Here is a 22549-nt window from a genome sequence, read left to right on the forward strand (position 1 = left end):
AATCACACGTACTCTGCAATAATTTGCATTTTATTTGCATATAAATAGGTTGGTAAAAGTGAATGAAATTTAATGACGCCTACAGAATTGTTTTTTGAAAAGAGAAAAAACATTCTGCTGAAATCCCCTCTCCCCCGACTATTCACTCAAAAAATGCACATGGAATTTCAATGTTTTTATTTCTTGTTCAAAACTGAAATGGAACAAACAATGATAAGCAACATTAGAAACACTGAGTCCTAGAGAAGTCACAGACATCAGAAAGCATGATCACACACTTACAGGAGGTATGCTGTCCCAGACTGTAATTTCGCCCCTTCCCAGAAGCAGTCCAAAGGTGTAATAATCAAACAAGGGTAAAGATATTCTATTATCTGTCAAAGTTAAAAAGAAGAGGCCATGCGTTAGGTTAAGGCACACTACTGGGGTGTTCCTGAGAAATTTTTGCCAACAAGAAGAAAATATACCTGATCCATGTAACCTGTTTCTGTGATAAGCTCTCCTGATTTGTAACACAAATGTTCCAATTTCCACTGCCTAATAAAATGAAAAGCAGAGACAAAAATTTCTCACTGTAATAAGAAAATTAGTGCAAATTCGAAATGATAGAACATATAAAAAGAACTGCAATTTCGATCACTTTTAAGCATCTGTCAAAACGAGCAGAGCTTTTGCCAAGTAGAGACCCAGCAAGCTTGCTTTAATGAATAGATAATACTCAATCGTAATTAACATGTAGGGTGTTTATGTAAATGAATGCTACCAAAGTACTTGAAAAGTCTTGTTTTCTTAAGTGTTCTCCCAATAATCTTGTTTACACCATTAATCTGCTTTTCTACATACATTAAACAACTTCAGGGCAGCCCAGCTGAATTATCATAAATTCAAAATAGGCGGGGATTAAATTAGGTTTGCAAAGTATTGACACATACTCAGGTGCGGAGATGTTTTACTGGCAGATCATGTCCTTAATAGGTAGTATTCAAAATGAACTCTCCTGCTCTTAACCATTAATATTATAAACAACAACATGTGCCAGGTGGGTCAAATTCTAACTTCACAGTCTCTTCTATTCCTATCTTACAGAAATGTGAATAAATATACAGATCAAGAATTAATTTAGTGCTGGGTGCTGCAGCTCACGCCTGTAATCCCAGCACTTTGGGAGGTGCAGGCAGGAGGACAGCGTGAAGCCAGGAGTTTGAAATCAGCCTGGGCAGCAAAGTGAGACCCTATCTCTATAATGAATGAATGAAATGAATGAATGAATAAATAAATAAATAAACTTTAAAAATTAGCTGGGCGCAGTGGTGCATGCCTGTCATCTCAGCTATACAGACAAGAAAATTACTTGATCCTGGAAGGCTGAGGCAGTGAGCTGTGATTATGCCACTGCCCTCCAGCCTGGGTGACAGAGAGTGACTCTATCTCTACAAAAAAATGAAAAAAAAAATTGCCAGGCGTGGTGCCACACATATATAGTCCCAGCTACTCGGGAGGCAGAGGTGGAGGATCACTTGAGCCCAGGAGTTCGAGGCTGCAGTAAGCTGTGATTGCTCCACTGCACTCCAGCCTAGATAAGCAAGACCCTATCTCTCAAAAAAAAAAGAATTAATCGGGAGTTTTATTGTCTCTAGAAAAGTGTTATATAAGCCCATATCTTTCCAGGTGTGTTAGGGAGATCAGTCTAACGAAAAAAAAAAGAAAATCTGGAAGAGTGGGGATGGAAAAGTCCAAGGGAAGGAAAAAAAAAAAAAAAAAAGAAAGAAACACAGTAAAAACTTCCCTCCCAACTGCTCTATTCTTGGCCTCCTAAGGGAGGCCTGTCTTCACCCAAGGAGCTTACTGTGTCCTCTTCCCTGTGCCTTCCTGTCTCTCAGCGCCCTGTTGAAATGTCACCCCCATGTTAAGCTTGTTGAAAATGACCCCCTTCTCCTGAACTCTAGAGCCCTGGCTGGGCAGATCTCCTGCTGAAACCTGGCGCAGCTGTCATGGGGACCGCCCACGTTTCCTTTGTCCATGTCTATCTATACTGATGTCTTTCCTCTCTTTGAGAGCTGTGCCTAACTTACCCATATCTCCGCCATCCTCCACCTAGCCACACATCCATGGACATATTTATATTTTAATTCTATACAGCATCAACATAGACTATCCGGCATGAGTAGGTTCTCACTTTATATTACTTGATCAACTCTCATTTACACTTGAGAAGGACATCATTGTGCATTAGAAAAATGAATGGGCTTGAAGCCAGAAAAAGGCTTTGAAACCTGGCTCTCTCATTTCATAACTGCATGAACTTGGACAAATGCTCTAATTAGTCTAATTCCCAGTTTTCTCACCTAAAACATGGGATGGGTTGAACTACATGTTCTTAAAGTTCATTCCAATGCATAAAATTACTCTGGACCCATCTCAGCTTAAGAGTGTAATTTAATGGCACAGACCCTCACATCTTCTCCTGAAGCATGTAGGTGACAAACACTAAGAATGCATTGGCCATGCTTGCAGTGGCCCCAGGACAACCTGGCTCCCCACAGGGATGCCACTTCACATTCTGCAAAACTGTACCAGGTAGTTGCTTCCCTACAATACTTGTTACAGACCAACAGGGCAAGTTTGCCTGGCAGAAACATGATTTTACATTTTCTAAGGCCCTTGCATTCATGTATCTGGTCTTGTTCTGGGAACCATGAAGGATACGAGCACACATGACCATAAGCCCAGGTTACAGATAAACAAACAAGAATGTGCCAAAGACATGTGACTCGACCCTGGCTGTGCTTGTCCCTAGGATCCTGTCGAGCTGGAATGTAAGCAGAGGTTAGAGAAGGGACAAGAAAAATCTTAATTTTATTCTCTTCTTTGGTTCTCCCTGGCTGCTGAATATGCCTATACTGCTACTTCCTCACCTCTTCCAGGAAAAATAAACAGTACTAACAAAGGCCTCAGTGAAGAGGTGCTGAAAGCCTAGGGGAGGTGATGGGGTTGGGTGACATCAACTCAGAGGTCCCCTGGAAATGGGGTTTAGTGATGCCAACCTCAAAAGCAATCAACAAACTGAATGCCCACTCTGTTCTCAATGCTGGGGTGAAAACAGACAAGAGGTGGCCCCTGCCCTGTAGTAACCAACAGTCTAGATACATAAGAAAAAGGACCGAGTTTTGAACTCTTCCTAATGCTTTACTCTACTCACAGCATTGTGAAATTAGCAATACGATGCTAAAACATGACTTTTTAAAAAGGTGTCAGCGGGCCAGGCATGGTGGCTCACGCTTGTAACCCCAGCACTTTGGGAGGCTGAGGCAGGCGGATCACTTGAGGTCAGGAGTTCGAGACTAGCCTGGCCAAAATGGTGAAACCCCATCTCTACTGAAAATACAAAAATTAGCCAGGTGTGGTGGTGGGCGCCTCTAGCCCCAGCTCCTTGGGAAGCTGAGGCATGAGAATCGCTTAAACCCGGGAGGCAGAGGTTGCAGTGAGCCGAGATTACATCACTGCACTCCAGCCTGGGCAACAGAGTGAGGCTCTGTCTCAAAAAAATAAATAAAAAGGTGTCAGCAACAATTCCCATGGTGGCTCAGCCCCCAACGTGCTGTGTGACACAAAACAACTAAGAGTACAAAGTCACAAGAAGCAGCTCTTCTTTTTCGCATTGTTTTTAAGTTCAGCAAGGGCAATTCAAAATATCACTCTCCAAAAATCTCTTAAGCAATGAAACATCTTACAGCCTGGGTGTATAGTCCCCAAGTGGCTCAGCGTCATCCTCTTTTGGGGACAGTGCCAAGATACTTACTGGCAATACATTATCAAGTAATGCACTTGCTTTGTTACCAAACTCGAGAAACGATAAATCAAGATGAAAAAAATCCTTTCATTGCAAAGCTATTTGAACTAATACTCCAGGTGCATTTCCAGGGCAACTTCATTTACTAAAATAACGGGGCCTAAACCAGCAGCCTTCTCCCACCGCCTTACCTGCTGCTCATTAGTAGGTGGACGCGGCGGGCCTTACCTGTTGTACATGTATACATGGACACGGCTGGCCTGGAGTGCCGAGTCCAGGTGTTGTAGGAGCGCTTCTGTGGTCAGGACATTAGCACCTTCTTCTTTAGGGGTCTGTATCATGAGTTGAGGATTAAACATAGCCTCTTCTCCAATCTTCTGGCGAGTATAATTTAATTCACGACTTACTCGTCCTCCAACTGACAAATATGTACAGGTTTAATTAGAATAGCAAAATCACTGCAAACTCATGTTTTATCTGTTATCTGACTACCTGCCATAGGATACACAATAGATGAACTCTAGTCATGAGACTGGCTGATGTGTGAGCAGTAACATTCACTTTATTAATGGCAATGTTAACTTCACCAATAGTAAACATAAAAAATACTCACTAAGCCCATTAATGGCTGTCCCGCCTGTCACAGACACAAACCTAATTCTAACTAATACACTGTGTGACGAAAGTGGGGGGCAGAAAGGAAAACTTGAGACACCTTTTCCTTGCAGACCAGACCAAATAACCCTGTTACAATTTCTTTCACTTGTATAAACAATGCGCCCCTGCAGCAGATTTCAAGATAAATGGCTTCAATTTACACTCTTCTCCTAAGTAAACTGGCAAAGGTAACAAGGAAATGTTTCTCCTCTGTGGAAAAAGAAACAAGGAAAGGTGGCCAGTGTGTGTTCAGCACAAAACTTGCCAGGAGAAGATAAATAAAGTGATTCAAGTCAGATGCCCATGGGGAAATCCCAATTGAGAGGAACAAACTGTATCAGCCACAGCCATCATGGGCAGTCCCTGGAACCTGGTTCCATCAGACGCACCTGGTCAGCATCCAGAAAACACAGGTGCCAGGTTCTCAGTCAGCTGGGGGTGAGCAGCCTGTTTTCCGGAAGCACCCCAGGTGACCCTGAACCTGCTGCCCAGGCCGAGAAGTCCTGCCTCACACCAACCCAGCTTTCCAGCAAGCTGGCCAGCACGGGGTATGCCCAAAGCCAGCGCAGGAGCAGGTGACCAAAGAAAACCATCAACACTGTGACTGCCAAATGCCTTTTCTCTTCCTCTCCTTTTTACATCCTTAGGCCCAAGGTTATGTTCAATGAACGGTTCTGGGCCAAGCCAAGCTCCGAATGCTGCACCTGGGCTGGGAGGTGTCTCAGGGAGATACTAATAGTTACAGACCCAGGAACCTAGAGCTCCCCCACTCCACAGTCTAGGGCAAAGGAAGCGGGTCTGAATTGTTCCTAAAGTCATTGATAAGTTGCATGTTGACTGAAAAGCAGGCCTGCAGCGACAGTTTAGAAAAAAACTCAGTGATCATAGCTTTCCCACGAGGAGGAATCCTTTTTCTTCAAGTTTAGTATTCAAGGACATAAACATTTGGTTTGGACAAGTAAATAAGGACTGGGAACAGCGGGTTGTTTAGTTCTCTTGGCATATTTTATAAACAAGGGGGCAGGCTAAAAAGCAAATAATGCCCTCATTAGGAAAACCAGTACAAATTCACCGCCTGGCAGGACCCTCTGTGCAGGTCCACGCGGATGCCAAGGCCAGGAGCTCCGTGAGGTGAGGTTTAACATACTGCGTGTGGGGTCGGGAAGGAGGGAGGAATATATCAGTTGGTTAATAAAAAGGAATAAGACTTCTGTGTGCAGAAAACTTTGAAAAATGCCAGGGGGCATTGCCGAGGGCCTTGCCATCAATGTGAAGTTAAGGAAAAATCACAGGAAAACACTGGGAAACAACTTGCACAGAGAAGCATCTACCTACTCGGCTGGCCTTTTCTGCAAGCCCTGGGAAAGCTGCCTGAAGGCAGGGGCTTGCTCACTCTAGCAGAAAGCACAGTACTTAACACCACGCAGACTTCCAACCAATTAACTGAATTTGAGCCAGCCCACATCCCCTAGAAGTGCAGAAGCTGTATGAGGCTAAAAAGCCAGTTATGAGTCCAGAGGTCACAGCTGCAGAGCTGCCCACCAAGGAGCTCAATGCAGCTTTTGCTCACCCTTTCTTTGTGTTATCACATCTAATGCCACAAACCCAGAAATCATTCCCATTGTTACTGCCTCCTCGAACATCAGCATGCACGTGGTTTTTCATTCTGATTACAAAGTTGCACCTCCTGCACCTTTACTGAAGCTTAACATATCAGGTGACTTAAACCCATGAAATTAAAAAACAGCAGCAACAAAGCACACCCCCCACCCTTATTATGGTGACCTAGGTGCCGTTATAGTGAGGAGCAGTCCATGACAGACAGCCTGGCTTCAGCAAGATTCTGCCCCTCGAGCCTTGGCAGAGCAGCCGCCTGTTAACTATATAATCCTCGAAGTGACCTGAGAGTGCAGTGTGCACAAAAATGGCAAAACCAAACACAAAGTTTGTGCTGCTAAGAAATTTTTACCAGACTCTTCCAGACCAACCTCATAATGGAGCAGTTATTTTATCACAGGGTGTTTCAGAAATGGCATTTATTTTCTACAAGATATAAAATGTACCTCAGGGTCTCCATCATGTCCCCTTTTTAGATGTTTTAAGATGTATATTTACATAAACATTTTAATAAAGGTATAGATTTGTCCTTTCTCTGGAATTGGAAAACCTGTCGCTCCCCCATCTCTTTGCTCTAATGATGAACACAAATATTTTGCCAATGTGATGTTTCAACTAAGACTATCATGATAGGGTGGCCAAGCAACTAGAGTTGAGACTCTGAAGTCTACGGTTTTCTCAACCACCTATGCCATATATACTATTAAATGCAATTCACTTTTACATATTATATGGTTATATTTTATCTAATATTTCATCTTATATTTAACCAAATATGAATGTTTTGCAAAATGATTCAAAAACGTTAATGAAGTTTAGTTGCCACCCATTTTATCTGACCAATAGCTGTAACATGATTCATTCATCCAGCAAGCATTTGTGGGTGGGTGGGTGGGTACTTTGACCAGGCAGTGGGGATGTGGTGGACGAAACCAGTCAGCGTAGTCTCTCTCCAAGAGGCATGCTGGTCAGTGAAGGGAACAGGCAACAGCCAAGCAAAACAATAAGATACCTTCATAGCACAAGTGTGATGCAGAAAACGAAGATGGTGATGCCATGTTGGGTAGTGGGGAAGGGGAAAAGATATTTCAAATGGGATAGCAGGGAAGACCTAAAGGGAAACAACATTTAGGTGACTTTGAAGAGCTGGAGAAACAGCGTTCTGGGTAGAAGAACCAGCAACTGCAAAGCCCTCAGGTTTGGCTTGTTGCAGGGAGAGAAGGGAGGCAAGTGTGGCGGAGCTTGGTGAGACCATAATTAAGTCTTGTGTCATTCACCATGTGAACTGGTAGAATCAGCTCCCTCTCGGGTATAACTGTGTCATAAAGTGCACGACACTCATATATTCTGACATCAGTATTGACCCAAGGCACTCTGGAGCAAGCTGCCAGAAACAGAAACCCTTCAGGATAGAGCAATTTTACTGACTCGTCTGACATTTGCTACCCTAGCAAACGCCTATCCTAAATCACTGCTGAATGACAGCTGAAAGCTGTTCATTATCTTGCTGTCTTCCTTATCATCCCTAAGTGTGAAGCTTTGAGCTCAGGAAGTCCCACAGAACCCATTTTAGATGACTGAGATGAAGGTCATGGTCTTGGAGAAATAGGTTTCCCCCTTCTTTTTCTTTTATTTAAAGACAAGGTCTTGCTCTGTTGCCCAGGCTGGAGTGCAGTGGCACAATCACTGCTCACCGCAGCCTCAACCTCCTGGGCTTAAGCGATCCTCCTCCCCTAATACCCCAGATAACTCCAACTACAGGCACACACCACCATGCCCAGCTAACTTTTCATTTTTTTGGGTAGATACGGGGGCCTCACTATGTTGCCCAAGCTGGTCTCAAACTCCTCAGCTTAAGTAATCCTCCTGCCTTGGCCTCCCAAAGTGCTGGGATTTCAGGCATGACTTTTTTCCACTGTCAGGATCAAAGTCCTAACATATTTTTAAAATAATCTAATGTTCGTGAAATAGTGCAGAAGAAAATAACTATTAAATCTAGTATCTGTTATGTAGATGTAGGCATAGGGAACCAAGTTAATAGCCATTTTTGCTGTGTGGTAGGCTATGGATAATTTTTTTTTTTTTTTTGTGACGGAGTCTTGCTCTGTCGCCCAGGCTGGAGTGCAGTGGCCCCATCTCAGCTCACTGCAAGCTCTGCCTCCAGGGTTCACGCCATTCTCCTGCCTAAGCCTCCCAAGTAGCTGGGACTACAGGCGCCCGCCACCAGGCCTGGCTAATTTTTTTTGTATTTTTAGTAGAGATGGGGTTTCACTGTGTTAGCCAGGATGGTCTCGATCTCCTGACCTTGTGATCCGCCCACCTCGGCCTCCCAAAGTGCTGGGATTACAGGCGTGAGCCACTGCACCTGGCCGGACTATGGATAATATTTACCCGCTTTGCTTTTTTGAGTTTATTTCTATCAATTTTTCTACAATGAAAGAGTATAATTAAAAGCTTCTATGGTTGGACATGGTGGCTCATGCCTGTAATCCCAGCACTTTGGGAGGCCAAGGTGGAAGGATCACTTAAGGCCAGGAGTCGAGACCAGCCTGGGCAACACAGATAAACGTATTTATCTCTACAAATAAAAAGTTAAAGAAATAGCTGTGGAGTAGTGGAGGCTGCCTTTAGTTCTAGCTACTTCAGAGGCTGAAGTGTGAGGATCGCTTGAGCCCAGGAGTTGGGGGGTGCAGTGCACTGTGACTGTGTCACTGCACTCCAGCCTGGGCAATAGAATGAGACCCCACTTCAAAACAAAACAAAACCCAGAAAAACAAAACCTTCTATGTGACACACACACACACACACACACACACACACACACACAAAAGAAAGATAGATATGAGAGCTACTTGGTAGAGATATGAATTAAAAACAAACTCAATGCAAAAAAAAATAGGCATCTCTGTACTCACTCATATATGAGAGGTAAAAAAGATTAATCTGATGGACTTAGAGAGTAGAATGAGGGTTATCAGAGGCTGGGAAGAATGAGAGGGGAAATGAAGAGAGGTGGGTTAATGAGTACCAACATACAGTTAAGTAGAAAGAATACATTCTAGTGTTCCATAGCATAGTAGGGAGACTACAGTTAACAACAATACACTGTATATTTCAAAATAGCTAGAAGAGAAGATTTAGAATGTTCTCAACACAAAAAAATGATGAATGTGTTTGAGGTGATGGACATTCCAATTACCCTCATCTGATCATTACACATCATATGCTTATATCAAAACATCACATGTACACCACAAATATATACAGTATTATGTATCAATAATACTAATAAACTATAAAAATAATCATATGCATCTTCATCATATTCTGAAGTCCTTTTATATTAACAATAAAATAACAACCCCTCTGAACAAGACTCAAGAAAAATCATTATCTCAGGATCCTGAGACACAAAATAACGTTTTATACTTGGGTGGTGCTTTCCATTTGCAAAGCCCTTTGAGACCATATTCTTTACGTCTTTGGAAATATTTTGATCATTGCTGCTCCTCCATCAAGCTGGGGCCAGCTGTACCAGACAGGCAGTGAGAATGGAAACCGGAAGACCCCAGCATTGCCACTAGTGGCAGAGAGATCTAGGACAAGTCCCTGACACAGCTGAGCCTCAGCCACCTTTCCTGGTTGCTGAGGATAACAGGGATAACAAATGCTGTGATGAACCTCACAGGACTGTGAGAGCCTTAGCTGACAATGTGTGTGAAATTTCCCAGACCCTTACCCAAGAGCGGAGCAAGTGTCAGTTCACCCATGCCTTTGTCACAGAGCATTGTTTCACTGTCCTGATGTTACAGGGGAGGGGGCATAGCTGCAGAGTTTGGGTGGCTTGCCCAAGGTTGCCCACCTTATTAGTAAGAGGCAGAACTGACCCTTTAACCCAGAGTCCAACTACCCTGCGAGCCTCATGGTTTCTGAGCACCAGCTGAGAACATGAGTACAGCAGGAGGTAGCCTAGGAGTGCCAAATTCCACAGAGCACACTAGACAGGTTGAGCATCCCTAATCTGAAGGTCTCAAATGCTCCAAAACCTTCCTGAGTGCCAATATGATGCTCCAAGTGGAAAATTCCACATCTGACCTCATGTAATCAGTCACAGTCAAAACAGGCTCACAACCATGAAGATGACATGTTACAACTGCACAAAAAGTTAACTATAGCAGACCTGGTAAAAATGTGTGATGGGCTTATTGAAAACTAACGCATCGTGCATTCACAACCAAACAGGAAATCATGTCAATTCATAAAATCAAAGAGAGACGTCTTAAGACAGAAACTATTGTTAATGAGGCCGGTGATGCTGGAGGAAACATTCTGAAAAGCCATCCAGCAGATGTCTCCTCGCCCCTACACAACCCACTCCCTGATCCTTCAACTGCTTCTGATGTTTCTTCTCACCTAAAAAAATAAAACATGGTGTACAGTAACCTCTCAGTGAAAACACAGCATTGCAGGTGGAGACCGGAAGCTGCTGTTGTTTAGCCACTGATGCAGGTATCTGGTGATGCTATTGTGCTGCTTGGGTACCCTGAACACATTATTTTTTTCACTGCATTAATGGAATGTCGTGGTTTTTTTACTGGTAAGTACGTAGGTGTGAATTAGTTTAAGAAAATGATTGCTTATCGGCAGCATATAAATTTTAAGTCAGGAAGGATGGGAATGCCACACAACCAGATTGTCCACATGGGTGGCTGAGATAGTGACATCTTTGCTTTCAGACAGTTCAATATACACCAACATTGTTTCAGGCACACAATTATCTTAAAATATCGTATAAAATTCCCTTCAGGCTAGATGCATAAAGTAGTTGAAACATAAACAAATTTCATGTTTAGAGTTGGGTCCCATCCTCAAGCTTTCTCATCATGCTTATGTGTGAATATCACCCCCCCTTAAAAAAATCCAAAATCCCATACACTTCTGGTCCCAAACATTTTGTATAAGGGATACTCAACCTGTATTACGCTCACAGCTAGAATTTTAGAATGCGTGAAATATGACAATAATCCGTATTTTTATTTAAAGTACAACCATGTTGCATCAAAGACTTTTCTCAGCCAGTGAGGAGATGCATTTTTTTCAGTAGGGCTCCCTGGGTCACAGTGGACAGGCCTCATTTTCCTTCTGGTCCCCAGAGAGTCCTGTCTTAGAGGGGGCAGATGAAGGCACACAGAGAACATGCAGCCCTAAGCCTCTTTACCTGCAAATTCTGCCATCTTATTCTCCAGAAATCCAAGGCTTAAGCCAATTCTTTGAAAGGCAAAAGAAGCATCACTTCTGCAAATAAGTTTTTGATCAAGCTCTGCTGATCCTCTCATCCCCAAATCAAGCCAGGCTTAACTTTCCAAAGTGAAGAAAGGCTAGCTAGCTCAGGTGGGATGCCAGCTGACCCAGAGGCCCATACTTCTAGGCCAATATGATTCCAATCCACTGTAGACAAGAGATGTTTCCCTCATCACGCTTCCCTGCTGTGCCCCTCCTCAGCACAGCCTTCTGCACAGAGCTTAAGAAACTTCTGTGTCATTCACACAAAAACCTTTTAGCAAAAGCTTATTGTGATCCACATAAAGATGATCTGAGGGACCAACCGAAGTTATTTTCCACAAAATTCAAGTCCTGCCCATGCACCTCCGTATGTGAGGGACGCAGAGGGGCACCAGGGGCATGGCACACCAAGTGTGCTGAATGAATAAATGAATGCGCAGTCTCAATACAGAGCCTTGGGAACAGGCAGTCATCTGTATAAGTTATTAATTCCCCCCAAAGCCTCAAAAAGTCAATCAGTCAAAACAAATGACCCTTTCAGCCTGAAAAGTACCCACTCAGAGTCCAATTAGGAAAATAGGGTCTGTGTATATGCAAGCGTTGCATTTGCATTTGATTAATCCCATGAATTATCTAACAGCCTCTAGAGAGATTTTCTTTTTCTTTTAGTTGCTCAGGTCCTCCTTTCAATGTTGCATTTACTTACTGTGAGGCCGAAAAAGTACAAATCTCTAAGCGGGTGTAACTGCAAAATTATTAGCACTGCCTCTTTTTTATAATCGAAAAACAAAAAAAAAAGAAAATTCAGTAATGTGAGCAATTGGCTGAAAATTCACGGGCTGTGAATTTTAGTCCTCTCCCACCCATCTCTTTTATTCAGGAGGAGCCAACCGCTGTCCAAGTTTCTGGGCCGTTTTTTTCCTTATGAGATTGTGCCCCTGCGTGTTGCCATGGGAAAAACGCTACAATCAGCCCAAAGAGAATGTGCCTTCATGAAGTGAGCCCAGTGAGAGGTCAACCACCAAAGCATAACGAGAAAAGGACACCCCCACCTGCCCACGGAACCGCACGGGACCGCACGGGGCATGTGGCAGGCTGGGCGCAGGTAGTGCGCAGGCGCTCGCGCGGGGTTCTGCAACGCGCATGCGCCGGAAGCAAGCTTCCCCGCCCCCACCAGCTGCTGGCAGTGCCATCTGTTATCAGCCTTGCCCAGGCTGCTCCCTCTGAATGGCTTTCCCTGACGCAGACCTGCTCGCCCTGTCAGATGCAATCAGGTCAGCCCGGCACTCTGCCCACGCTGGACCTGCTGCCTGTCGCAGCTCCCACCAGCTCCCAAGGAGCCACGAGTTCCCGAGACGACGCTGCATCTGCCAGGAGGCCCCTTCTTCATTGGTTACTTGCCACACTGGCAAATGAGGGCTGTGCACCGCGCCACCTGAGACAGGCCCAAGAACGTTGCTGACTTCCTGCAGAGCACAGGCGGAAATGTCTTCCATCCGGAACAGCGTACTTTCCAAGCTGGGAACTGTCCCAGGTTCTACCACAACCTCAGGTGCAACCAGGCCGCTCAAGCGCAACAGGCAGGCAGATGCACACCCAGGTCCCGTCGCTCTGCAGGAAGTGGGCGGGCCCAGAGGTGTGATGACGAGCGCGCGCTGGCTCAGAGGCCACACTCCAGCAGCAGCAGGCAGCAGAACCCAGGAACCAACACAGCGTGTTTTCATCAAGCTTAGTTGAAACCTCCTGAAGTCTTCATTAAAAAAATAGAAACAGAAAGAAACCCAACAACAACAACAAAACCCAAGTGCTTCCACGGCAGGCTCTCCATCACAGCACTCAAGGCATTGCATAACATTAACCCCAGTTTCCTTCTCTCAGCTTCTGTGGGGCTGACATCACCTCTCAGCTCTGAACAGTCTTCTTGCCATTATCCAGCCTGGGCCTCTCTTCATTGGCCTCCCACTTGAGCCGACATGGGGGAGAAGACAATGCGAGTCTCCACCTTCGCACGCAGGCTCCCTGGCCTCCGGTGAATACCACGCTGGCCTCATTTATCTCCTGCACTGTTCCTTCCCTCTGCATCTGTGCAGGGAGACTCACGTCACTGGGGGCCACTTTCATGATTTTGTTGCCATCAGGATTAGCTGGATTAGGGGCCAGTACATAAGGACCCCCTGGTGCCGTGAGGAAGTTTCATCACCGGGTCAGCATGGTGTGAACTATATTCTGTCAACACCACCACTTCTTATAGCCACCAACCAAAAAACGGAAGGGTGGAGGTGGGGGCGTGGCAGAGAAAATACCTCAAGTGCAAAATGTATAAACTCATCATAGCAATAAATTCCCGCATCATGCATTTCAAAGTATGTGAGCCATTCAAGACTATCCTTTCAAACAAGAAACCCATGTGATTCTTTTTTTTTTTTTAAATCTATAAAGAATTTGGTGGGTCTGACAGTGGAGGTAGGGGGAGTAAGTATAGGTAGGCGAGTAAGTATAGCTACCCAGAGGAAGAACAAAAAGCCCACAAAAGCTTTTTTTAGCCCCTTTCTAAAGCTAGTCAAGCAGTTTGGGAAGAGTTGCACTGCTGAAACCTTATATTTTGTTCAAGGCTAACACCTCCAGAACGGTTAGTTCCTCCTCTTCTAAAGGACCAATGCTATCCCATCCAGCAAGGATATCCCCCCATCTAATGTGAAATAAGACAATGTGGGCAGGAGAGTGGTGGAGGGAATGGTGTGGGGGGTAAAAGGATGGGTGGGAAGAAAAACAAAACAGAACTTTTAACTCCTTTTAAAACTTCAATGACTGAATTTTTTCCTCCCAGGGAATCATTTACCTACCTCCATCCCGGCCCCACTCATCTGGACCCTGCATGAAGTACACACACGATTTCTACAGAAAGTAATGGGATTTCTGCAAGTGTGTGTGAGTGTGTGTGTTTTATAGAGCAGTCCCTCTTGCACAGAACTGGGCTGTCCCATCAAAGCCGTATCTGTTATATTTCTGTCTTTCTCTTCTGTTTGGCGTATTCACCAACAAGAGAAAAGGAGGTAAGCTTTGGCGGCCCTGACCTGCAGCTGGAACACAATACTTTCGCACAGCCCTGCCGACCCCTGACATAAATTTTACACCGCAGCTGGCATTTACACACTCAGCATTACCATATGTATAGCTGCTCGGTGCTAATTATGCTAATCACCTGTCTAACTCGCTGCTGCGAAAAATGGTTGCATTTAGCAGTCCAGCGCCTCCCAATGCAGCTTACTGTGTGGCTGAAATGTACATTCAGACGGCCCTGAATGGCAAGATTTTTCCACGTTGCTGGCTACATTCAGGCCTCAGAAAAATTTATTCAAGTCAACTGGTTTCGGTCCGCAACAAAAAAGTTACGAGAAAAAAGTGAGTGTGTTCTTGCCCTAACATTCTGGATCTGCTTGCAAGCAAAATGATAAATCAATTGGTGTGGGAAACAAAAAGGGAGAGAGATTTCTTTTGGGAGCCATGTGAAACTGTAGCCTATTAAAAAAAAAAAAGAAAAAAAAAAGGGTCATCCTAGTCCCCAAATCTCTAGAAAGAGCAGTTAATAGATATTTAGCCCTAATCCCAATTCTCTCAAATTGCAAGCTTTGTTTGCAATTAAGCAAGGTATTAAACATGTGCAATTTTTTTTTCTGGATCATGTGTAGACCAAAATGATGGTATCATATTTATCATTTTTTACTTATTACAACAATGTGTAAATCTCATGAGGAAAATAAAGTAAGAAGAAAGAATTTCTTAGGCAGCTAGGAAAAATTCTTTTGTTATTTTCTCTTAGAAAGCCTCTATTTAAAAAGAGGCTGTGTGATGTTTGAGTCTATTTTGTGAAGGTTGCTGGTTTCCCAGTAAAGGAGCAGAGGAAATCAGGGAGTGGGGGTGGGAATGTGGAAGAATTCACAAAAGGAAAAAAAACAGCGGTGGGAGGAGAAAGAGGGAGTCAAGAAGCCTACATTTTCCTTCATCTCAAAATTCCTGTTTTTATCATCACTATTTCTTAAAGCCGTTTTCTCAGATCACTCTGTAGAATAAATTTCTTAATCAGGAGAATATTGGCGCAGGTATTTCAACAATTCCGCAAATTCAAACTGAAATCCTATTTCTTCCTAACTCACAAAACATGTTCGTATTAATTTTTAAAAACCCTGAGTGTAGTCACTCTCAGGGCTGCTTCATGTTAGGCTATCTGGAAGGATAGGTAATATTTGGGTACTCCAATTTCCTGTCATTGCTGGCAGCATCGTACGACACGTTATACCGGAGGGTGGCCCAAAGTGCCAGTGACTTTCTCAGCTCCGAACAATCATCATTAGCAGACTTCTTACTTCAGAAATGCAGAAAGCAGGAGAAAACTGGAAAGCCATTTACTTCAGAACATATCGTGGGCTACATCCCTCAGTGCCACAGAACACCAGACTGGCTTTGCAACCCATCAGCTTTTCCAGGCTTGGAAGGTGCACCCACCCGGGAGGGCTTCCTCTCACGGAGGAGGTCATCTTGGAGGCTCGGGCTCTCTCCGCCTCGCTTCCACTCACCTTTCCATTTAACCACCAGCAAATGAATAACAGGATGCTCATGCAACTTAAAGATGCTGCTGTGACAAGAGCGCTCTTCCTGTCTCTCCCCACCCTCCATTCTGTCCCACATTTTATAAACTTATCTGACCCAATGAAGCAACACTATCCAAGCCACATCTTGATTTGTTTGGCATCCCAATTCAAGTTGCTATTCTTTGCCATTCCAATGTGTTTATCTGGGTTTTGTAGTTTCAAATCTTGACTGTGCAGCCAAAAACACAAATGACACAACCACCACTGGGCTCACTACAGAGCAGAGGGTTTACCCCCCCACCCCCCATCCTCTCAATCTCGCACTCTTCTTAAATAGGAGATGGACCACCCTGCCTCGTGGCACGGAGTGGTGTTTACATTGCAATACTTGACTGTGTAATACATCTGGCATTTTTGGGCAGGATTCCTGAGCTAGGGGCCAGAAGCCCTTAAGCAATGATTTAAGGGGGAAAAAAAATCATGCACATTGACTTAACAAAGCCCATTTCCAGTTCCTTTTGCTTACTTTTATACATGTCTCATTAATAACTGAAAACTATCTTGGTTGCTAAATTGGGTAAGTCTACTGCTTCTTTTCATTTATCCGAACAATAATAAATAAAGCTTGCGCTGTGGTATGGGGACTTGCTTCTCACTAGCCTTGCTTTCATAGCAGTGGCATTATGGGACCCACATGCAGAGTGGACTATTTGGGCCAACTCACACCTGGGTTTCTGGATTAGAAATAAGGTCCTGCCCCCACATTATAAATCTCTCCAACAACAAACTTGCCATTCATTAGCAGGTATCTGACTGCCCACCAACAATACAGTTTCCCTAACACATGACAGCTGTTTTTCCAGCCATGCTCTAAACCCCAAATGGAACAGTCATATTCCCTCCTGGAGGGACTAAGGATGGGGCGCATCTTCCTGTACACCAGGCTCCTAAAATCCTCCACCACAGCCCAGCAGTTTCTCAATGGCAGTATTCTGCTGTACGGAAGGCATTAGACATTGCAGTGTAAAGGAAAAAAAGTGCCCTAAATCCAATTTAAAGAGAAAAAAAAAATCCAGTGAGTATTATCATAAGCACCCAAATTCAAAGATTAGAAGAGAAAGTAACAGAAGTGTTTATATTTTGATGACCCTGATTATATCTGTGTATTCAAGGAATGTTCCCACTGAGAGAATCCCGCAGAGCTTCCTCCTCCTGCAGGCAGAAGTGCCCTCACCAGCAAGGCCCTCTGGTCTCTGGATGTCAACCAAGACCTCTCGTGAGGATGGAACACATAAAGCTTCAGAGTCGGCCAAAATCTGGATAAGGAATTCCATCGTCTTCAATCTAGCCAAGCTCCATGTGCCCACTGGCTTTGGTGGGAGTTCTAAGCAAGGAAGACCTGAAGTGGGGCACCTGGGAGGGAAAGCCATGGTTTGTGCTCCACTCACTGTCTCAGAAATGCTAGGGAACCCAGTTCTTCCACTGTCCATGCGCCACGGTAAGCACAGGGGACCAAGACTTATTTCCCACTCTCTCTGGCGGTGTGGTATGGGTTGAAGAAACTTGTCAATGGATTTTAAAGTTGCCTCAGCAGTCCATTAAAAAAAGTCATGATTCTTCAACAGGGGAATCACATCTTCTGCCAAGAGCCCATCAAAGAGTGTGGTCTTGGAACCAACCCTAACCAAAATAAGAATGCCAAGGATGCAAATGGCAGCTCTGTATCTAGTATCTCCCACAGCTGGCTTGAAATAATAAATGTTCTCATTCCCTCCTCTTAGGTTGTGATTAGCCAGACTTACTACCATTTCAGAGTTCACACTAGTAACTGCAGAGATCCACTTGGAAGGAAATGACGTGGGCAGGTTAGAGTGGGTGGGCGGGAGAAGGGGCAGGAGGGAAGGGGGCAGGGGAGAGAGGGAGGAGGCAGCAGAGGTTCTGGGAGCCAGCGAGGGGCACAGGAAACATTAATAGTATTATAATAGGATGACACAGCCATGGTTATTATGTGGGGGTGTCTGACATAGCTGAAATTCCCTCAACTTTTTCTCCCCCTAAATAGTGTCAAAAGAGTGCCAGAAGTTAAAATACTACATTTATGCAAAGTGGCTTCTATTAAATCTGGTCCCCTTTACAGTTATTTTATAATATTTCCATATTTGTTTTAAAAGCCAAAAAACCTTTTACAGTGAAACACATCCCCGAGGAGAACTGAACACTCATCAGGGGCTAAATCTGGGCAGATAGCTGGCATGGTGAGGCAGAAGGCGGCCACCAAAGCGCCCCTTTCTCCGCCCAATTGTGACTCTCCCCTACCCCAATACAAGCAGGAGAACAGGGCAGACGAGTTTCAGCTTGCCCGAGTTTCAGCTTGCCCGAGTGGACAGAGCCCAGGGTCACAGGCAGGTCAGCTTTGAAGGAGAAACTCAAATGAAACATAAACATGGCATTGTGGAAACCAGACAAATCTCCCATGGCTTGTCCAGCCAGCATTAATCTCGGCATCAGCTGTGGTGCATAATCTAAACACACGGATCAGGCTGTTCATACATCTGGAAGCTGTCATCTTCTGGAACCTCTGAGCGGCATCCTATGTATCTGAAACACCCCATTACCCAACCTGTCCTCTCAACTTGGTGAAGGGTCAAGAATGGCAGACAGCAAAGAGATAGGGAGGATTCGCAGGGTCAACTGCCCTGTGTAGAAGACACCTGAGGGCTATTTGTTCTTTTTTAAACAATCATTGGTGGCTTCTCATTTCCAATCGTTTTTCTCCAAATATGAAAGAAATATCACAACTGCTTCCACCTAAATGTGCATACCCAGTAGTAGAAACTAATAAATACCTATAAACATATTCTCCCTTCTAAACCATGTATGGGGGTCCAGGGAGCAGAAAGGAGCTGCATTTTTCTTCCTGTCCCTTGTGAAATGCCCCCACAATGGCAACCCCAGAGAAAAGAAACCAGGTGCTCACTGTGGAAGGGCAGTGACAGCAGAATCCATTCTGCCCTTCTGGCTGGGACTGGTCCCTTGCTGTCCCTTGGTTCTGCTCCACAAGGGCTCCTGGGGGGACAAGGGGGAGTGGTTTGTGACAGAAACATCTGGAGGAGAATGAGACCACCAAGGAGTTCACACACTAGCCGGGCTTCTGAAGGAGCTGTTATTTCAATATGCACAAAGGCAGTGGTGTCTTCTATTAAAGCTTTTCAGAAAGTCAACCATGCTAAAAACCTTCAGGCTACTGGGGTTGAGGTGCAACCAGTCTTTCTGCAAATTTAGATACCCCCCACCAAAAGGTACCCAAATATAAATTATTTCTTTCTTCCATGGCCTCTTTCCTCTTTCGACCCATCACGGTGTTTTTCTTTGACATTTAATGTCATTCTAAGAAAAATAGTTATCTGGGTCTATAAATACAGGAATGGGATGGGGGAGTTATCTTAAAGAAGATTAATACTCTTGCATCTCTGCAATGCATTGTAGCCACAACTCCATCATAATAAACGTCTTCCATCTGCACAGCATGAGTCTTCCAATCAAAATCTTTTTATCATCTAAACCAGTGGGTCTCAATCGTGATGATTTGGGACACCCTCTCCCCCAGTGACATCTGGCAATGACTGGAAACATTCTGGTTGTCACAACTGGGAGGGTGCTACTGGCATCTAGTAGGTAGAAACCAGGATGCTGCTAAACATCTTATAGTGCACAGAACAGCCCCCAACAACAGAGGATGATCCAGCCCCAATGTCAATAGTCCTGAGGTTGAGGGACCTTGCTCCAAATTGAAGGAGTGGTGAAACTCAGTTATCTCCTACAACTGATTGCCTGAGTTCAAGAACACTGAAAGCATTAACACTAGCAAGGTACAAACTTGAAAGCACTTACACATACCAAGCATGTATTTTAAAAAACAATTTCTTCTATTTTTCTTAAAAAAAAAAAAAAGTCAAAGTCACAACTTGCCTCCTTCTTCCTTGACGCTGGCCTGCAGCAATGTTAACATCCAAACACCAAAGCAATATGGATTCATTACAAGGCTGCTGCCCTCTGCAGAAAAGGAGGCCAGGAGCTGGGCAAGCTTTTAGAAAAAACAAAAAGCTCAAAGAAATAAATGAATGTTCTATCGCTGGAGAAGCTTGACAAGAAACTTGTTCTGAGGGAGGGCTGCAGTGAGGGGGCTGATATGAAAAGAAATAGATACTGAGGGAGATGGGTTAAAACTGCTTAACAAAAAGGAAATACCAACAAAGAAACAGGCAAGATTAAAAATAACACCAGTCTGTGCCCAGAAAGGTGAGATCCAGGTGAAGCATTCGTGGCTCCAGGGAAAACACTAGAGGCCAACACGTGAGCACACTCGTGAGACAGGGATGGCTAGTAGGAAGAGCTGACAGCCCCCAGCCAAGCAGGGAGACTTCTGTGAAATGGCCCTGAGGGACGAGCCCAGCTTCCAGGCTCCCACCCAACCTCAACGACCCACAAAGGGAGGCTGCCCTCCAGGAGGCCACATTCCTGTTCTCTGAGCCTTTGCCTATGCTGTTCCTTCTGCCCTGAATGCCCCCTACCCTCTCCCCTCCAGCCCCTGTGCCTAGCTCAGGCCTCCACCCTTGAGGCCATCCTGGAAGATGTCCCCGATTTTCCTGCCATCTTGGCACTGCTGTCCTTCATGTTAACTACCCACACACCAGTCCGTGTACCTGCTGAATGTTTGGATGGAGTTCCCCTGAGGGCAGAGACTGTGGCTTTTCACCAACATCTCTCTGGAGAGCTTTCTGCAATGGTGGTGCAGAGTAGGTACTGAGAACATGTGCAGAATGAACGCTTCTATTTTTATACAATGACAATTAGTTTCTCCCCCACCTTGCTGCCATGGTCATGTGTTTCTGCAACAGCAGATGTCCACTACATCAGTCAACATATTCTCTATCAAACCTCATTACTCCGCACATATGTGAAACTGATTTGACAATTTTGATTAGCAAACACTATAACCCTAAAACTCAAGCTGGTATCTTAACATATAATTGACAGTTTATTAAAAGGCAATCATTATATGGACATTTTAACAACAGAATACAATAATTCTTATCACCAATTCCTACACACGCACACACACGCGCATGCACACACACGGACTCTTTCTCATCTAGCATATATTAGTCTGCACATTGTGGCTGATGTATTCTGCCCTCTTTATAAAGCCAACTCTTTATAAAGCCACATTTCCCCAGCATGTTAAACAAAGCATGAAAGTCAATTTGAAGACACAGCCTTTCGAGTGGATCCCTTTAATTTGCTGGCTGTATTAAAAAGATAACATTAACATGCCTTTGGCAGATAGGAGGATATGCAGAATAAGACAATGTGCATACACACACACGCTCCTGTGATTTTAAACCGCAGGAGAAGGAGCTTCTTCCAAACTATCCCTCAGCATCCCTCTCCCCTTAAAATCTCATACTTTCCTCTCTTCTGTTGTTTTCTAACTAGGGCAATATGCTACCTCTATCCATTTCGTTTGTGTAGCAAGCACTCTGTTGATGCCCAGTTCATATAAAAATTCATGTCTAGAACCTTAAGAACAACCTACCAAGAAAGCAGCATCTAACAGATTTCTTTGCTGATAGTGATGAGGAATTTATCTATGAGACTGATGCACAAAATGAACTTAAATGTGGAGCTATTACTCACTTCAATTCACGGACGTCCACTGAGGTATAGGACAGCAGGGAAATCTTACTCCTGAATGCAAATGCTCACACTACTTACTGCTGACGTGAACACTCAGCTCACTCTGTCACAAACAAGATCTCTACACAATCACTTCTGCTTTGAAAATGAAATTAAATCTATATGGCTACTGTTGTATAGTCACCTCTCTAGTTGGGTCTATCTGCATTTATGAAACTGTCGCTTCTTCTCTAGGGGGAGAATCTAGCACAGAATGAATGAATGAATGAATGAATGAGAGATCAAGGACAGGGCAACAGAACAAGTGACTTATGTCATTAGTAGGCAAAGTAGACCTGGAGACAAACAGACAACCCATAGTTTCCCATCTGTAAAATGGGACAATCCTCATCATAAAGACATTACATCCACTATCATGTTATAAAAACAAAATAGGGCCGGGCGCGGTGGCTCACGCCTGTAATCCCAGCACTTTGGGAGGCCGAGGCGGGTGGATCATGAGGTCAGGAGATCGAGACCATCCTGGCTAACAAGGTGAAACCCCGTCTCTACTAAAAATACAAAAAATTAGCCGGGCGCGGTGGCGGGCGCCTGTAGTCCCAGCTACTCGGGAGGCTGAGGCAGGAGAATGGCGTGAACCCAGGAAGTGGAGCTTGCAGTGAGCCGAGATTGCGCCACTGCAGTCCGCAGTCTGGCCTGGGCGACAGAGCGAGACTCCGTCTCAAAAAAAAAAAAAAAAAAAAAAAAAAAAAAAAAAAAAAAAAAGATAATAATAGCTATTTTATTGAATCGTAAGGCATGCGATAATATATAACAAATGCCTGGTACATGGCAGTTGCTCAACAAGTGACAGTATTAGTACTGAGTAAATAACATTTGGCCCAAGACCAGTGAGTCATGCTGAAACTGCCAAAAG

The 22549-nt window shown here is 44.4% G+C and overlaps 1 protein-coding gene across 10 annotated transcripts in view, besides 7 other annotated features; it reads right to left on the reverse strand.

The window, feature by feature from the left end:
• PTCH1 (patched 1) overlaps positions 1-22549 on the reverse strand; it is a 73992-nt gene that overhangs the window by 38687 nt on the left and 12756 nt on the right. For 9 of the 10 annotated variants that reach the window (NR_149061.2, NM_001083603.3, NM_001083602.3 and 6 more), the window contains exons 3-5: positions 4019-4208; positions 468-537; positions 283-374 (exon numbers count right to left, since the gene is read on the reverse strand). Coding sequence is in view for 9 of the 10 variants with exons in the window: in NM_001083603.3 (NP_001077072.1) it covers positions 283-374; positions 468-537; positions 4019-4208 (352 nt within the window). In the remaining variant the exon portion in view is untranslated. Of the gene's footprint in view, positions 1-160; positions 375-467; positions 538-4018; positions 4209-22549 lie in introns of those variants that run through there. The other variant, NM_001354919.2, reaches the window with a different exon arrangement.
• Positions 12013-12754: an enhancer, noted in NCBI's record as "H3K27ac-H3K4me1 hESC enhancer chr9:98255961-98256702 (GRCh37/hg19 assembly coordinates)". NCBI's record gives its function as "activates a minimal SCP1, AML or CMV promoter by ChIP-STARR-seq in naive H9 embryonic stem cells {active_cell/tissue: H9 hESC(naive)}" and the evidence as "EXISTENCE:reporter gene assay evidence [ECO:0000049][PMID:30033119]".
• Positions 12013-12770: a biological region, named in NCBI's record as "H3K27ac-H3K4me1 hESC enhancer GRCh37_chr9:98255961-98256702".
• Positions 12681-12770: an enhancer, noted in NCBI's record as "active region_28638". NCBI's record gives its function as "activates an Ori minimal core promoter by ATAC-STARR-seq in GM12878 lymphoblastoid cells {active_cell/tissue: GM12878}" and the evidence as "EXISTENCE:reporter gene assay evidence [ECO:0000049][PMID:35858748]".
• Positions 12755-13494: an enhancer, noted in NCBI's record as "H3K27ac-H3K4me1 hESC enhancer chr9:98256703-98257442 (GRCh37/hg19 assembly coordinates)". NCBI's record gives its function as "activates a minimal SCP1, AML or CMV promoter by ChIP-STARR-seq in naive H9 embryonic stem cells {active_cell/tissue: H9 hESC(naive)}" and the evidence as "EXISTENCE:reporter gene assay evidence [ECO:0000049][PMID:30033119]".
• Positions 12831-12880: an enhancer, noted in NCBI's record as "active region_28639". NCBI's record gives its function as "activates an Ori minimal core promoter by ATAC-STARR-seq in GM12878 lymphoblastoid cells {active_cell/tissue: GM12878}" and the evidence as "EXISTENCE:reporter gene assay evidence [ECO:0000049][PMID:35858748]".
• Positions 12931-13150: an enhancer, noted in NCBI's record as "active region_28640". NCBI's record gives its function as "activates an Ori minimal core promoter by ATAC-STARR-seq in GM12878 lymphoblastoid cells {active_cell/tissue: GM12878}" and the evidence as "EXISTENCE:reporter gene assay evidence [ECO:0000049][PMID:35858748]".
• Positions 13911-15457: an enhancer, noted in NCBI's record as "VISTA enhancer hs1258". NCBI's record gives its function as "enhancer in: neural tube[4/5] | hindbrain (rhombencephalon)[4/5] | midbrain (mesencephalon)[4/5] | forebrain[3/5]" and the evidence as "EXISTENCE:transgenic organism evidence [ECO:0001131][PMID:17130149]".

The sequence above is a fragment of the Homo sapiens genome, chromosome 9 (assembly GCF_000001405.40).
Source record: "Homo sapiens chromosome 9, GRCh38.p14 Primary Assembly".
Taxonomy (NCBI): domain Eukaryota; kingdom Metazoa; phylum Chordata; class Mammalia; order Primates; family Hominidae; genus Homo; species Homo sapiens.